The 18,232-nt window shown below is 43.8% G+C and overlaps 1 long non-coding RNA gene and 1 pseudogene across 1 annotated transcript in view; one reads left to right on the forward strand and one right to left on the reverse strand.

Annotated features, from left to right (window-relative positions):
* The window catches only part of MIR5689HG (MIR5689 host gene), a 22,453-nt gene extending 12,947 nt beyond the window's left edge, over positions 1 to 9,506 (forward strand). The window contains exons 2-4 of the long non-coding RNA NR_132993.1: positions 4,628 to 4,781; positions 5,473 to 5,552; positions 9,161 to 9,506. This is a non-coding gene — a long non-coding RNA (MIR5689 host gene). The remainder of the gene's footprint in view (positions 1 to 4,627; positions 4,782 to 5,472; positions 5,553 to 9,160) is intronic.
* Positions 12,402 to 13,314, reverse strand: MRPL48P1 (mitochondrial ribosomal protein L48 pseudogene 1; annotated as a pseudogene).

The following is an 18,232-nucleotide window of genomic DNA, read 5'->3' on the forward strand; positions in this document are numbered from 1 at the left end:
CCAAGGCCCAGGGATAACGCTGAGCTCCTCTGTGGGTGAAGCACATTCAGCTATAAAACAGTATCTTAAGATTTTCTTCTCGAGTTAGATTTGGTACGTAGATAACGACCTTTAACTATTTGCATCTATGCAGCTTTTACTTCCACCTCCTCAACCCACTGTCTACAATTCTCACATAGAATTAAGAATAATTTTGCATAGCAGATAATTGGCTGAGCATGCGGTATTCTTTTGACCCATTCAAGTGAATAAAATACTGTATAGGAACACTGTCACAATTTAAATGAAATTAAATTTCTTGCCCCTTTTCCTCCCCCGACCATTTAGTCTTTGGGTAGCAACAGAGATCACTAACATGATATAACAATTAATGTAGTTTTGTTTCAGGGCATTAATTTGATACAAATTGTAATTCTGTTCTCATCAGTTCTGTAAATTGCTTTACTGTAATTACACCAAGTATTTGATCAAATATTGCCGATATTTCCATCTGTTTAGTGTATGGTATTATGATTTCAAAATTGATTCTAGATTTAGTCCAATAATTTTTAGAATGTCTCTTTCTATATAAAAGTCAATGCAGAAATAATAATATTTTGAGATAAAAAATAAAGGCATCTTCTAGTTAATATAACAGATTTTAGTCACATTTATATTCTTTAATGTTCAGTGTATGTATCCACTACATGAGAAACTCAAGACACAAACAAAATGGTTATATTTACTGCAACACTAAGCAATATGGAACATTAAAAAGAATATGTATTCATAAACAAGACAAAAGATGGTATAGCAACATAAAATTTACAAGAACATTATAGCTGGACTGTATAGGAAGAGCTTGACTGATTTCTTTCCACAATGCATTTTCATCAAAACTCATACATATTCAGAGATACAAATAGCATACCAGTGAATTCAATGAACTGCCACTGAAACCAAAACATTATTTCCTAGCATCTGTTTGTGGGAATTATGTAAAATACTTAATGCAATGTGTTTTCATTGCAATCCTATTTTTGTTTCCCAAGCAGTGAATTTTCATTTAAACCAATATGTTTACCTGAGACCCACACACATGCATTTATTGGAACTGAAATACAGCTACAGATACAGGCAACACGTCTGAGGCCAAACCAATGCATTTTGATGCAACTCAGCCAATTTTCCACAACATGTGTTCTGATTCTCTAGGGATATAAAGCCCCATATAATGGTAAATGCACTGAATTGTGATGACAAGGAGGGGAAACTGATGTCTGGATTGTAAAGAAATACAGGAGCCTCAGCTCTCTGGAAACCTTGCCACCAAAAGCGTGCTTCAGGGACCAGCAGCATTGGTGTCACCTGGGGAGATTGTCAGAAAGACAGAATCTCAGGCCCCACTCTAGACCTACTGATTCAGAATCCAAATTTTAACAAGATCCCCAAGCGATTTGTTTCCACAGTAAAATTTGAAAAGCAGTGTTTTAAAGCAAACTTCTAAATGGTCATAGTTAACTTTAGGGTAATACTCTAAGTTTTCTGAGATGGAAAGCACAGCATGGTGACTACAGTTAATAATAATGTACTATATACTTGATGAATATGTTAATTCATCAAGTTAATTACTACAAATTGGTTGTAATAATCCTTTCACAGTGTATACTTATATCAAAACATCACATTGTGCACCTTGGATATATGTACTTGTTATTTGTCAATTATACCTCAGTGAACCAGAAAAACAGTTTTCTGTGGCAAGCACTTTTCTCCAGTGGACAGAGAGTTCGGTTGAAACTAGCTTGCTTTATATGCAAAAGCAACCCCAACCCCTTTTTCTTTTATAGGACATGTGATACATGAATTTATTTTTCTTGTGAACACTCAAAGAATTCAGAAGTCTGCTGAGCATTCTCTTCATTTTTATTAATTAATTAATTTCTTTTAGAAATGGAGTCTCACTCGGTTGCCTAGGCTGGAGTGCAGTGACACAATCATAGCTCACTGTAGCCTCAAATTCCTGGGCTCAAGCAATCCTCCTGCCTCAGCCTCCCAAGTAGCTAGGATGACAGGACTATGTGCACCATCACACCTGGCTAATATTTTAATTTTTTGTAGGGGCAGGGTTTTACTATGTTACCTAGGCTAGTCTCGAACTCCTGACCTCAAGCAATTATCCTGCCTCGGCCTCCCAAAGTGCTGGGATTATAGGCATGAGCCACATGCCTGGACCTTCTTTTACCAAAGTTACTCACCATCAATACTTTCACTTCCCTTTAGTTTCTTTTCTATGAATTTATGTACATATTATATATATGCAAACATTTAAAAAACATAAGTGGGATATATTAGTATATTGTTACATATTATATACATATTATCTTTTTCATTTACCTACATGTTCCTGAGGTCTTTCTTTGTCTCTGCTGGTCAACTTCAATCTATAACCAACCGCATGGTCCTCTGCAGTATGGACACACCATAATTTCTATAGCCAGCTTCCTATTTATGGACATTTGTATTATTTTTATTTTTGCTTCTATTATAAACAATGCCGTAGGACTATACGATTCTGACCCTCCCTAAACTGCTCCTAAGATCAGTGCTTGAGATATTTTGCATACCCTGCACTTGATAGATCAGCTGGCCCCACCCAGATAATAAACTGGCTCATCTGATCTTGTGGCCCCCACCCAGGAACTGACTGAACACAACAAGACAGCTCTGACTTCCTATGATTTCATCTCTGACGAGTCAGCACTCCTAGCTCACTGGCTTCCCCCAACCCACCAACTTGTCCTTAAAAACTCTGCTCCCCGAATGCTTGAGGAGACTAATTTAAGTAATCATCAAACTCCGGTCTCCTGCAAAAATAAAAAATAAAAAATAAAAATAAAAAATAAACTATGCCATATGAACATTCTTGAACATCTATCTTTTTGAGAATTTCTTTAGATTATATTCCCAGAAATGGAATTTTAGGGACAAGAGAAAGAGAGAAAAGCATATGGTAATAGACTCACACTCAGTAGTGATCAAATGTAAATTAAACAATAGAGCCCTTTCCCTTCTTCAGGTTGGTAAAAATGAAAAAGAATGATGCACTTGTGGTAGGTGTATGAATTGGTAAAGCCTTCTAGGAAGAAAGTTTAGCAATAGCCAATCAAAAGCTTTGATGTTCAGGAAGGTGAGGTGCAGGCTGCTTCCAGGGCTGGTGGGGTTTGCCTCAGAGGGGCGGGCGTGGAGCCCCAGAAGGCCTGAGTCCCATGCCTTACAACTCGCAAACAAACCTCCTTCATTCCATGGGACACTTCCTTTAGGCAGGCAAGCCCCAGAGGGACAGTGAGAACTTGCTCCAGTGTCAGCAACCCCATGGCACTCACACTTCCACCTCCTCTTCCCGCGGGCTCCTTGACACCGGGGTTAGCCTGTAGCCCCCCTCTCTCTCCCGTCAGAGTGGCTTTACTTGAATTGTCCTACTGCCCTTCCCAGCACCTGGCTTTAATTGGGGCTGCTCTGGGCCACTTTGCCAGGAATCCTGAAGTTGATTTGTAGGGAACAGGGATTGAGTGACCGGGCCCTACCTCCGCTCCCCAAAAACAATGTCCTGTTCTCATGTGCTGGCCCACCTCCTCCCCAGGACCTGGGTCCCTACGCTGAACACTGAGGTGGCTTTTGCTCAGCTAGTCTCCAAGACAGCACGAGCCTATTTTGCCTATATTGGTAAGAGTAATGGAGCTGTTCATTCCAGTTATCTTTCACTGGACTGAAAGGATTGGCTTAAAAAATTACTGTACCCTACTGCGATATTGAAAAATATATATTTCATCTTCCACCTTGTTTCCCTGTGTACAACTCCTAAATTCCTTGGAATCTCCAAAGTGATGTCTTTTTTGTGTGCTGATGAGTTGACAGATGGCCGGCAGCCCATCGGTAGCTTCAGAACGGAGACTGGTCATGGGAAAGGCTAAGCCATGGTTAGAGGGTTGGGGCTTTCAGCCTCATCCCCCAACCTCTGGGAAGGGAAGAGGGGCTGAAGTAAAGTTAATCACCAATGACCAAGAGTTTAATCAATCATGCCTACATAATAAAGCCTCCATCAAAGCCCAAAAGAACCATGTTTGGAGACCTTCTGGGTAGCTGACCACGTGGAGGTTCCTGGAGGGTGTGGTGCTTGGGAAGGACGTGGAAACTGCTTCTGCCTTCCCCCATACTTTACCCTATGCATCTATTAATCTTTATCCTTTGTAATATCCTTTATAATAAATCGGTGTTTCCCTGAGTTCTGTGAGCTGCTCTAGCATATTAATCAAACCCAAGGAAGGGCCACCGGAGGGGGCCATAGGACCCCTGATTTATAGCCAGTCAGATGCACAGATAAAACAACGTGGAGCTTGCAGTTGGCATCAGGAGTGAGGGGTGGTCTTGGGGAATGAGTCCTCAACCTGTGCCTTCTTACACTATCTCTAGGTAGCTAGTGTCTGAATTGAATTGAATTGGAAGAGTCTCGGCTAGAGTCCACAGAAGAATTGTTTGCTTCTTGGTATGTGGGGAAAAAAAACCCCACACATGCGGCCACAGAAGTCTTCTGTGTTGGGTGAGAGAATAGAAGAAACGCGTTCAGTCTGTATTTTTTTCCTCTCAGGTCTGCTGTGCTGAGACTCATGGCAAACCCCAGGAGCCACCTATGATGTGCCAGACACATAAGCCCCTCCCTCACAGGCGTGGGTGCAGCCGGGGCCGACCGCATTCCAAGGAGCATTTCCTCTGAAAGCCAGGCCAAGTGCCCGCTCTCCAGCGTGAGTCAAGCAGTGCCATGCCTCCCACACCCCTTGCATCACATCTCTGGGAATGCACAGACCTTGCTGTTACGCTCTCTCTTCCCACCCTTTATGGGTGTTTTCTTTAAGTGGCAGAAGGAAGTGGGCATGGGTTGGGAGAGGACCATGAATTCTAGTTTCTGCCATACTGCAGGTGGATTTGGGGAAGAAGAGAGTCTCCTTTCTGGCCCACACCACAGGGACATTCAGAAGCAGTTGTTAAAGGGGGAGCAGCATTGGCTGGGCCCAGGGAAGGACAAGTAGATGACTGTATAAAGCCAGGCATGAGAGCAGTTGGAATAAGTTGTTTCACTCATAAATTTATGGTGAGCCTTGTCCATATTGTTAATGGCATATTCTTGTGAAGCAGACCTACATACTTCTGAAAAGCACGGCCTTGTTCCCTGCTCAGCTAACTCTGTCTGATCTCCTGACATATATATGTGGCAATTTGGAATTCTAAGCAGAGTTCAAAATTCTAGGCCAAGATTGGGATTTGGAGGAGAAAAGGGGCCAGTTCCAGAGCAAGGGGAAGAATAAAATCTCTCCACTGTGGACACTGAAATGAGACTGATAATGACCTATTTATTATCCATCTAGGGCAGACCCCACAGGCAGGGGTCATGCATGGGGGAGTTCAAAACCTAGTTCATCAGGTTCTTTCCTCCAGGATTTTGGTCTAGGCAACATCAGATGAAAACGAACACTAAGGGCAATCCTGAAGAACCAAAAGAAACTGGCAATGGACAGGTATAAAAGTGTGTGTGCGCGTACCTGTGTGTGCGCGCGCATCTGTGTGTGTGCGCGCACCTGTGTGCTTGCACCTGTGTGTGTGCGCGTACCTGTGTGTGCCCGTGTGTGCGCGCACCTGTGTGTGTGTGTGCACGTGCTGACATTCAAGGCAACAGCAGGGCTTCTTTACTACTAATCAACCTTTTTCTTCTCTGTTGGCCATGCACTTCCGTATGGCTCAGCAAACGTGCAAAGGAAGGAATAGTGGGAGTTGGAGAGGAAGAAGGCAAAACCTGGTCTATGTGTGGCTCTGAGGTTTTTGTTTGTTTTTTAAAATGTAATCCACTAAATTCACCTCTGGGACCATGTGAAATGTGACTCAGGAATGGGAAAATGATTTTAGCTCAGGAAATGCCACTGCCTTCCTAGAAATAGCTTTGGCTCAAGTGAAAAAGAGATGGGCAGGCCAGGCGTGGTGGCTTACACCTGTAATCCCAGCACTTTGGGAGGCCGAGGCGGGCGGATCATTTCAGGTCAGGAATTTGAGACCAGCCTGGCTGACATGGTGAAACCCGGTCGCTACTAAAAATTCCAAAAATTAGCCGGGCATCGTGGCGGGCACCTGTAGTCCCAGCTACTCAGGAGGCTGAGTCTGGAGAATGGCTTGAACCCAGAAGATGGAGGCTGCAGTGAGCCAAGATCGTGCCACTGCACTCCAGCCTGGGCAACAGAGCGAGACTCCATCTTAAAAAAAAAAGAAAAGAAAGAAAAAGAAATGGGCAAGACAAAACCAAGTTTAAGAATGCAAGTTTATTACTTATGAAATTATAGATTGCAGGAACCAGAGACTTAAGTTTCTCCAGGCAGTAGTGTATATTATCAGGATGAGGTAAGGAACACCAGACCAACAGGGCAGACAGGTCTGATGAAGGAAAGGGACCTGAAGGTCATTCTGAATCCAGTGGAGCTCTAAGTAGGTCAACTTTTGGCCTCCTCAGACCAACATCCCTTTGTGGTGACTCAAGACCAATGTCTACCTCAGGGTCAGGCTGGTTTGGTCAACCACCTCCAGTATGGCTGACTTAGTTTTCAAATTCAGCCACAAGGATCACATTGAGGAGTCTTTTTTTCAGAGACAGGGTCTTGCCCTGTTGCCCAGGCTGGAGTGCAATGGTACAATCATAACTCACTGCAGCCTCGACCTCTTGGGCTCAAGCAATCCTCCTGCCTCAGCCTCCTGAGTAGCTGGGACTACAGACACACACCACCATGCCCAGCTATTTATTTTATTTTTGTAGAAATGGGTCTTGCTATGTTGCCCAGGCTGGTCTTCAACTCCTGATCCTCCCATCTTGGCCTCCCAAAGTGCTGGGATTACAGGCATGAGCCACCTTGCCCAGCTGATCTTGAGGAGTAGTTCTTTCTTTGCTCTGAAGCCCCATGGCTTCATTTGAATGTATGACTAAGCCCCTGTTAATGGTAACCAGTGAAATGAATTATTATTTTTTTTATCATTTTTATTTTTTTTTGAGTCAGAATCTTGCTCTGTCGCCCAGGCTGGAGTGCAGTGGCACTATCTAAGCTCACTGCAACCTCTGCCTCCTGGGTTCAAGCGATTCTCCTGCCTCAGCCTGCCGAGTAGCTGGGATTACAGGCGCCAGCCACCACGCCTGGCTAATTTTTTCTATTTTTAGTAGAGATGGGGTTTCACCACGTTGGCCAGGCTAGTCTCGATCTCCTGACCTCGTGATCCTCCCACCTCGGCCTCCCCAAAGTGCTGGGATTACAGGCGTGAGCCACCGAGCTTGGCCAGTGAAATGAATTATTAAACATTATTAACCTTGGTATTGATATATCAAAATTAATTTACTAAAGAGTGTTGTGGCCCACACCTGTAATCCCAGCACTTTGGGAGGCCAAGGTGAGAGGATTTCTTGAGCCCAGGAGTTCAAGACCAGCCTGGGCAACAAGGCCAGACCCCATCCCTACAAAAAATTTTTTTAAAAAAATAGCCACCAGGTATGGTGGTGCACGCCTGTGGTCTCAACTGCTTGGGAGGCTGAGGCAGGAGGAATGTTTGAGCCCAGAAGGTCGGGGCTGCAGCAGTGAGCTGTGATCACACCACTGCATTCCAGCTTGGGTAACAGAGTGAGATCTTTTCTCAAACAAACAAACAAACAAACAAAAAAAAGATTTGGAATCAATATCCTAGCAAGACTCTGGGTTGCAACTTTGCAAATCTTCTGCTGTGCACGTTTGTTGTTGTTGTTGAGACACAGTCTCGCTCTGCTGCCCAGGCTGGAGTGCAGTGGCACAATCATTGCTCACTGAAACCTCGACCTCCTGGACTCAAGCATTCCTCCCGCGTCAGCCTCCCAAGTCTCTGGGACTATAGGCGTGCACCACCACGCCTGGCTAATTAAATAAAAAATTGTGGGTGCCAGGCGCGGTGGCTCACGCCTATAATCCCAGCACTTTGGGAGGGCGAGGAGGGTGGATCACGAGGTCAAGAGATTGAGACCATTCTGGCCAACCTGGTGAAATCCAGTCTCTACTAAAATTACAAAAATTAGCCGGGCGTGGTGGCGCATGCCTGTAGTCCCGGCTACTCGGGAGGCTGAGGCAGGAGAATCACTTGAAGCCGGGAGGCAGAGGTTGCAGTGAGCCGATATTGTACCACTGCACTCCAGCCTGGCGACAGAGCAAGACTTCGTTTCAGAAAAAGAAAAAAAATTTTTTTTTTTTGTAGAAACAGAGTCTTTCTATGTTGCCCAGGCTGATCGCAAACTCCTGGGCTCAAGGGATCCTCTCACCTCCCAAAGTGCTGGGATTACAGGCCTGAGCCACCTTCCCCAGCCCTATGCACATTTTCACAAAGATATTTTGAACCCTAGCAGTGGGAAAGGATACTTTTTGACTGGTGACATCCCAGAGCTACCTTGAGTTCTTGTGGTTTTCAATGGATATTGCTGATTTTTGTTTAAATTTTGGTCAAATTTGTTTACATTAAAGGAGCATAGTTTTGTGTTTATTTCGGTTGGCTTGGCGACATTGTCTTAAACATGGTATGATACACATAAGCCTATAATTTTTTTTAATTAAGTGAAGTAAAAGCCTGACATTAACACTTTGTGTAGGTTTATGTAAGTAATTTATTCCTGAAACTAATGCCTCTTCAAATGGAGGGTTTTGTTTGTTTGTTTGTTTATGGGAATTTTAAGTAATTTTCAGTGCCTGAGAATGTTCTCCATAAAACCTGTAACAAAACACATAATAATGGTTCCAGTGAAAATAGTTATCTCAAAGTTGGATTGGATTTGAAATTCTAAATACCCTATGACTAGGGTATCAAAATTTAAGGTTTGGTCAAATGTAACTTTTTAGGTGTCTTGTGTATGGTACAAGTTTGAAAGTGTTTATGTGCACTACCTGTTCCATTCATCATATCTACCCATATCTGTATCACTTAAAATGAATACTTTTAGGTTTATTAAAAAGTAACACTTCAAGCAAGCAAATGGAAATTATTTTGCAGTAACTACAAATAATAGAGAAGTATTAACATAGAGTTGTGGGCCATGACCTAGTGGGTTGTTTGTCACTGTTTATTTTCTGCCATTTCCTAGGGGTGAATTGCATCCTGTACTGTTTACAGCCTTATCTCCAACTTTTGCAGAGTCAAGAATTTAAAAGCAGCAGGGCTTGGTGGCCCATGCCTGTAATCCCAATATTTTGGGAGGCCGCAGCGGGAGGATCACTTGAGGCCAGGAGTTCCAGACCTCCCTGGGCAACATGATGAGACCACATCTCTACAGAAAAATTAGCTGGGCATGCTGGCATGTGCCTGTAGTCCCAGCTCCTCAAGAGGCTGAGGTGGGAGGATCACTTGAGCCCAGGAGGTCAAGGCTGCAGTGAGCTATGATCACACCAATGCACTCTAGCCTGGGGACACAGTGAGACCCTGTCTCAAAAAAAAAAAAAAGAGGAATTTAAAAGCATTTACTACTATCTAGTGTACTATATACTTATTATTAGTTTATTTTTGGTCTCCCTCACCAGAATGTAGGCTCCTTAAAGGCAGTAGTATTGCACATAATAGGGACTAATATACCTTTATTGAATTAATTAATGAGGGCCAAGATATCTCATGTATTGGGTATCTACTATGTGCCAAGCCTTTTACTAGGTGCTTTACACACACATTTATATTGTGCCACTTAAAACTTATAGTAACTCTAAAAGATGATGGCTGGGTGCACTGGCCCACACCTGTAATCCCAGCAAGTTGGGAGCCCAAGGTGGGAGGATGGCTTGAGGCCAGGAGTTTGACACCAGCAGGGAGAACATAGCAAGACCTCATCTCTACAAAATTAAAAAAAAAAATACAAAAATTAGCCGAGTGTGGTGGTGCACACCTGTAGTCCCAGGTACTTGGGAGGTTGAGGTGGGAGGATCACTTGAGCCCAGGAGGTTGAGGCTGCAGTGAGCTATGATTGTACCACTGCGCTCCAGCTCAGATAACAGAGCCAGACCCTATCTCTAAAATTTAAATAAATAAATAAATAAATAAATAAATAAATAAATAAATAATGTCTATTATCCCCATTTTGAAAAAAAAAAAAAATCTGAGAGAAGGCCAGACACCATGGCTCAAACCTGTAGACAGAGACGGGCAGAAGGCTTGGTCAAGAGTTCGAGACCAGCCTGGCTAACATGGTGAAAACCCCTGCCTCTACTAAAAATACAAAAATTAGCCAAGTATGATGGTGGCGCCTGCTATCCCAGCTACTTGGGAGGCTGAGGCAGAATTGCTTGAACCCGGGAGGCAGAGGTTGCAGTGAGCTGAGATCACACCACTGCACTCCAGCCTGGGTGACAGAGCGAGTATCCATCTCAAAAAAAAAAAAAAAAAAAAGCCTGAGAGAGAAATCAAGCAATATGCCCCAAATTACACTACTAGCAAATAACAAAATCAAAATTCAATCCCAAGTCTCAATTTTCTTTTCAAATTCTTCACTTACTATATCCGTTTCCTGTTGCTGCTGTAGCACGTTACTGTGCACTTTCTCACGGTGCAGGAGATGAGAAGTCTGAAATCAAGGAGTCAGCAAGGCCACAGTCCCTCCAGAGGCTCCAGGAGAGAATCCATTCCTTGCCTCTTCTGGCTGTCAAAATTCTGTGGCTTGGAGCCGCATGGCTCCAATGTCTGCCTCCAAGGTCACACGGCTTCCTCCTCTTCTGTCTGTGTGAAGTCTCCCTCTGCCTCTGTCTTATAAAGACACTTGTGATTGCATTTAGGATACCCCTAGAGAATCCAGGATAATTGCCTCATCCCAAGATCCTTAACTTTACATCTGTAAAGTCTTTTTTTTTTTTTTTTTTTTGCCATATAAGGTAACACTCACAGGTCCAGGGTTAAGATGTGGATATCTTTTGGAGAGCCTAACACACACATCTTAAAAAGAGAATTTGTGCTCAGGTCCCCAGGGCCAAGACAAGGCGTGCTCTCCAGCACAGTCATGCCAATTACAACACTCAGGCAAAGCCCAAGGGGTGCTGGGGTCCTTTACAAGATGCAGTCACTTTTGTCTGGATCTGGACCTTATAACCTGAGCCTAGTGCAGCAGAGGGGGTTGGAGGAGTGAGGACTGGATGGGCCAGATGCCAGGAAGGTAAAAAGATAAATGCTGATTTGTCAGATATGAGTGCTTGGTGACTGTAGGGTTCCTGAAAACAGAAGGAAGAGAGAGGAAGGAAATATGTTTCATGAATATAAAAAGAATTTAAGTATTCACTTTAACCAAGTGATCAGGCTTAGTGTCACCAATATGAAAAAAAAAAGGTGACATTGTTCACTTCTGGTGTGATTCAATAAGATACTCAACATCACCTGTTCAACACTCTTAACAAAGCTAAAAAGTAAATAAATAAATAAAGGTTAAATCACTTGGAAACCATCAGACAAATCCAGAATGTGGGACATTTTATGAAACAACTGTCTTGGATGCTTCAAAATATTTCAGTACCATGAAAAAAATCTGAGGAGATTGTTCTAAATTAAAAGGCACTAAAGACACATAGACCAAAGTAGCACTTGAACCTTAATTGGATCCTGGGTGGTGGTGGTGGTGGTTGTTGTTGTTGTTTTTCATTTTTTTATTATTATACTTTAAGTTTTAGGGTACATGTGCACAACCTGCAGGTTTGTTACATATGTATACATGTGCCATGCTGGTGTGCTGCACCCATTAACTCGTCATTTAGCATTAGGTATATCTCCTAATGCTATCCCTCCCCCCTCCCCCCACCCCACAACAGTCCCTGGTGTGGTGTGTGATGTTCCCCTTCCTGTGTCCATGTGTTCTCATTGTTCAATTCCCACCTATGAGTGAGAACATGCGGTGTTTGGTTTTTTTGTCCTTGCGATAGTTTGCTGAGAATGATGGTTTCCAGCTTCATCCATGTCCCTACAAAGGACATGAACTCATCATTTTTTATGGCTGCATAGTATTCCATGGTGTATATGTGCCACATTTTCTTGATCCAGTCTATCATTGCTGGCTGGACATTTAGGTTGGTTCCAAGTCTTTGCTATTGTGAATAGTGCCGCAATAAACATACGTGTGCATGTGTCTTTATAGCAGCACGATTTATAATCCTCTGGGTACATACCCAGTAATGGGATGGCTGGGTCAAATGGTATTTCTAGTTCTAGATCCCTGAGGAACCGCCACACTGACTTCCACAATGGTTTTAAAAAAACAAAAAAAACAGCTATTAAGGGCATTCTGGGAACAATTAGGAAAATATAAATAGGAACTATTTTATCATAGGATATTGAATTAACATTAATTTTCTTTTTTTAAAATACATGTTAGCAGCAGATTTGTATTAGATGGAGGATAACAAGGGTTAGGTAAGCAGTAACAAATGGCAAGTACAGCCATGCTACAGAGGAGTGAAGGCATTACTGGGTATGGGAATGGGCACTTATGAAATCTAAGGGTCAGGTCTCCTGACGAACTCTGACCACCCAGTAAGCTCTTCTCCTTGGCACGCAATATGACCAGTGCTGGCATGAAAGCGTCTACAGTAGCTAGTTCAACTTGGCCAACCGTTCTTCCAGTTCTGGTCGAGCTTTGAATCTTCCCTTGAAGTCTTCTTCAGTGTGCTCCTTCAACGACAATCTGACTCCTTCAGGAAGACTGCTTTGGATTATTTCCAAGAAAATCTCTGCAAACGTAGCACTCAAACTGCTGATGTGAACCACTCGCTCATGGGTGGTAAGCACTGAGTCCAGGAACGTTTTGCTGCCTTGGTCCTGCAACCACAACACTTCAGTGGTTTTGGTTGGCATCACATAACTTTCCTCGACTTTAATGGAGAGAGAGTTGCAGAAGTTGTGAACATACTGGGCATAACTCTCTGCCAGGGTCATGTCATATGCAGGCAGGTGAATGTTTAAAACCCCATATTCATCATCTGTCCCCAAATTAATGAGTTTCACTTCCACTTTTTGCTTCTTCTCGGGCTCTTCTGCTTTAATTAGGTGCTTGTACTTTCCAATGGCGTGGGTGGGCTTTGTCTTGTAGGGCCGACTAGTACTTAGTAGAATGCCACCTACAGAATAGATGGGCTTCTCTGCTGAAGTTCTAAGCCTTAAGAGTGAAAAGCCTTGCTTAAAAGTGGTATTGTTCCTCAGGCACAGCACTTTTTCCAAGGTTCTGCTCATCCTTTGCTGCTGCATGGCCTCTAGCTGTGCAAACCGAAGACCCGCCCCCCCAACATTAATTTTCTTAGATGTGATAATGTTTTATGTCAGAAAGAAATTTTTAATCTCACAAGATACATGTGAAGTATTTAGGGATGAAGTATCCTGGTGTTTGCAACCAACACGGAGTACAATTAAATGAAGGGTATGTGGGTGTTTGTTGGACTATTCCTCCAACTTTTCTGTAGGTTATACTTTCTTTCCACATAAAAAAGAAAAAAAATGTTGATGCTTATCTGGTGAATTTGGTGGTGCTCTTCACCAGTGATGAGTGACGGGAGTTTGTCAGTAACTTATAATTGCTGCGCTGTCTTTGGATTGCTCTATTTTCAGTAATCATCAGTAAACTGACACAGTGTGGGAGACTCACTAAGGGCCCTGGGCTAAGCCATTCTTAACGCAATACTCCTCAAAATTGAAGCCACTAATATAAATAAATTAGTTGTAGTTGTCTATTTTTTATTTTTTTGAGATGGAATTTTGTTCTTGTTGCCCAGGCTGGAGTGCAATGGCACAGTCTCAGTTCACTGCGACCTCCAACTCCCAGATTCAAATGATTCTCCTGCCTCAGCCTCCTCCCGAGTAGCTGGGATTACAGGTGCATGTCACCACGCCCAGCTACTTTTTTTTTCTTTCTTTCTTTCTTTTATTTTTAGTAGAGACGGGGTTTTGCCATGTTGTCCAGGCTGGTCTCGAACTCCTGACCTCAGGTGATCTGCCCACCTCAGCATTCCAAAGTGCTGCAATTACAGGTGTGAGCCACCGCCCCCGGCCTGTAGTTTGCCTATTATCTGTGATTCTGTTCTCCTCTATTTGGATGGAAAACAAAGCACTAATGATGGATGTAACCTTTGTGAGCATTTTTTCACCATGAGCATTTATTCATTCAATGAATTTGCACTGGGCAGCTACAATGGACTGCTGTAGTCACAGGGGATTCAGTGGACAGGATATGGTGCTTGCTATTATGGAGATTATATTCTGAGTAGAAGCATTAGAAACAAGCACTTAAAAAATCTACAAAGAGTGATTCTACTTACTCACTGCTCTTTTATTAACTCTCATTATATCTACCAGGACACAAGCTGAAGATGTTTACAATACCATAAAGCAGATGTCAAGATGGCTCCTGCAGGTCAGGCATGGTGCCTGATACCTGTAATCCCAGTGCTTTTGGAGGCCAAGGTGGGAGGATCAGTTAAGGCCAGGAGTTTGAGGCCAGTCTAGGCAATATATTAAGACACCATCAAGAAAGAAAGAAGGAAGGAAGGAAGGAAGGAAGGAAGAGAAAGAAAGGAGGGAGGGAGGGAAGGAGAAAGGAAGGAAGGAAGGGAAGGAGGGAGAGAGGGAGGGAAGGAGAATAGAAGGAAGGAGAGAAAGAGAGAGAGAAAGAAAGAGAAAGGAAGGAAGGAAGGAGGGAAAAGGAAGGAAAGGAAGGAAGGAAAGGTAGGAAGGAAGGAAAGGTAGGAAGGAAAGGTAGGAAGGAAGGAAGGAGGGAAGGAAGGAAGGAAAGGACGGAAAGAGGGAAGGAGGGAAGGAAGGGAAGGGAGGGGAGGGAAGGGAGGGAGGAAGGAAGGAAGGAGAGAGAAAGAAAGAAAGAGGGGAAGGAAGGAAGGAGAAGAAAAAGAGAAAAGAAAAGAAAGAAAGGAGGGAGGGAGGGAGAAAGAAAGAAAGATTAGTCCAGCATGGTGGCAGTATATGCCTGTAGTTCCAGCTACTCAGGAGGCTGAGGTGGGAGGATCATTTGAGCCCAGGAGTTGGAGGCTGCAGGGAGCCATGATCGCATCACTGCACTCCAGCCTGGGCAGCAGAGCAAGACCATGTCTGGAAAAAAAAAAAAAAACTTGCAGTCCCCCATTATTTCTAGTCTCCTGGTATCCATACCCTCATTTAGTCCCCTTCTATTAGCCTGCTCAATAAATGTCAGCTTATTTTTGGAATTTAAAGTCATAAGAATGGAAATGGATGAAATGACTTACGGAGAAAACATGGATAGAAGAAAGCTCCAAAATCTGAGCCCTTGGGACTTAGTCCATTTGGGCGGCCACAACAAAAGACCTCAGCCTGGGTGATTTATAAACTGCAGAAATGGATTGCTCACAGTTCTGGAGGCTGGGAGTCCAAGATCAAGGCACTGGCAGATTCCGTATCTGCTGAGGTCTCTGTCTATTACACAGATGGTGCCTTCTATGTGTCCTTACATGGCAGAAGAGCCAAGGGAGGTCCCTTAAGCCACTTTTATAAGGCACTAATTCTGTTCATGAGAGATAAGGAGGACCCCGCAAGAGAGACTAAGAGGGAGCATCCAGAAAGGTAGGATAAATATCAGGAAAATATGATGTCTGGAAACCAAGTAAGGTAAGTTTTCTAAGGAAGAGAGAGAGAGCGAGAGGAGATTAACTTTCAAATGCCATTGAGAGTTGCTAGGAATAACAATTAAAATGAGCAATGTGGAGGTCATCGGTGACCTTGATTTAAAAACTAACAAACAAAGAAAACAAAAACCATTCTGCCGAGGCACGGTAGCTCATGCCTGTAATCCCAGCACTTGGGAGCCAAGGTGGGAAAATTGCTTGAGCCCAGAAGTTCAAGACCAGCCTGGGCAACAGAGTGAGATCCCGTCTCCACAAAAAATAAACAAAATTAGCTGGGCATGGTGATGCATGCTTGTAGTCCCAGCTACGTGGGAGGCTGAGATAGGAGAATCGCTTGAGCCCAGGAGGTTGGGGCTGCAGTGAGCCGTGATCACGCCACTGCACTACAGCCTGGGTGACAGAATGAGACTCTGTCAAAAAAACAACTCACTGGGCGCGGTGGCTCACGCCTCCCAGCACTTTGGGAAACTGAGGCGGGTGGATCACAAGGTCAGGCGTTTGAGACCAGCATGGCCAACATAGTGAAACCCTGTCTCTACTAAAAATACAAAAAACTAGCCGGGCATGGTGGCCGGTGCCTGTAATCCCAGCTACTTGGGAGGCTGAGGTAGGAGAATCACTTGAACTTGCAGTAAACCGAGATCACGCCACTGTACTCCAGCCCAGGCAACAGTGAGAGACTCCGTCTCAAAACAAAACAAAACAAACAAACAAAAACTTGTCAGTAGTGTTAAGAGAAAGAACCTCTTTGGAATGCGTTAATGAATGAGAAAACATAAACTGAAAGCAGTACCTAGACACATCATTTTGAAAGAATGTTGCTATAAAAGGAAGGTGATAGATGAGGTAGCAGACGGAGGGGTAAGTGGAGTCAGGAAGGAATCGTTTTTGGGATGGGGGAAATAAGAGTATGCTTTATGAGGATTAGTATAATATGGTAACAAGAGGAAATTTTATAGCACAGGGGAGGGACAGAATTGCTAGAGTGATGTCCGTGAGTAGGAGAAGGTTGGATGGGATCACGGGCTTTGGGAAGAGGGTCAATTCATCCACACCAGCAAGGGAGAAGGGAGCGTATATGGGCACAGAGGTTAGTGTGCTGGTGGGAGCTTGTGGCACTTGTGATCACTTTACTCTTTACCAACCTCCAGAACTGTGAGAAAATAAACTTCTGTTGCTTAAGCCAAAAACAAAACAAAAAAAGACACCTCTTATTACTGGTCAGATGACTGTGTTTGCTGAATCAACTGAAAAGCTTTGTCTGAACAACCCCCTACAGGCTGTCATTTGGCGGAGAATGTGAGAGCCTTCGATAAACTTATCCGGGACCTCCCTGTCGTCTTCTTCTCACTGAAACCTGGCTCCCTGGGACTCGGCCTTCCCTGAGCATCTCAAATGGTGTTTTCTCTCCTATAACCTTTGTGCCACTGAAACTAGGGGTGGAGTAGGTCTCTTCCTCATTCCTCATCACTGCTTCAAACCATCTTCCCTTTCATCTTCACAGATACATCCAGCTACAAATCTCACGCCATTATCAGACTCTTCCACACATTTTTCCACTTCGTAAGCAGTCATCTTCTGGGGTCACACCCCCATTCCTTGCAGAGATACACTGCCACTCTAGGCAATACACTTCTGCCCCAATTCCTGGTGATTTCAATGTCCACTTAGACGACCTCTCCTCCAATGACCCCCTTGTCCGCCCTACCTCAGCGGCTCACTTCTGTGGTCATATCCTTGACGTTGCAACCAAGTAACAACAACCCTGACATAACATCAATTGCCACAACTCACTCTCCTCCTCACCACCATCTTGGCATTCTCCCTCTCATTTCTCCAACTCCAACAATACTTTGACCCCATTGGGACTTCACTTATGATCCTATCACCATTTTGCTTCTTTCAATGCTACCATATCCGTTCTTCCCTTCTTATTCAGCTAAACTCTGTGGTCAGTTATTATCATGACTTCTTGCTTGAACCCTGAGCTCTCTTGCCCTCTCTTCTCCGTCACTTCAGGCGGCTCCACCACAACCCTGATGAAATCCAACTCTGCCTGTTCCACGCTTGTCCCTATAGAAAAGCATCCAACCCTGCAGAATGTTTTAAATTTGTGGTCACTCACCTATGTGGGCCTTGTTCATTCTCCCTGTTTCCTAGAAAATTATTTCATCACTTATTCCTCCCCAAGCCTGTAAACACCCATCCTCCTGTCAGCTGTCACTGTCAGCTGATAACATGCACGGTGGCTCATGCCTATAATCCCAGCACTTTGGGAGGCTGAGGTGGGAGGATCACCTGAGGTCAGGAGTTCGAGACCAGCCTGGCCAACATGGCAAAACCCTGGTCTCTACTAAAAATACAAATTTAGCCAGGTGTAGTGGCACGTGCCTGTAATCCCAGCTACTCGGGAGGCTGAGGCAGAAAACTTGCTTGAACCTGGGAGGTGGAGGTTGCAGTGAGCTGAGATCATGCCACTGCACTCCAGCCTGGAAGAAAATGAGACTCTGCCTCAAAAATAAAATAAAATAAAATGAATAAAATTAAAAAAT

Source organism: Homo sapiens, chromosome 6 (genome assembly GCF_000001405.40).
Source record: "Homo sapiens chromosome 6, GRCh38.p14 Primary Assembly".
In the NCBI taxonomy this organism is placed as follows: Eukaryota; Metazoa; Chordata; class Mammalia; order Primates; family Hominidae; genus Homo; species Homo sapiens.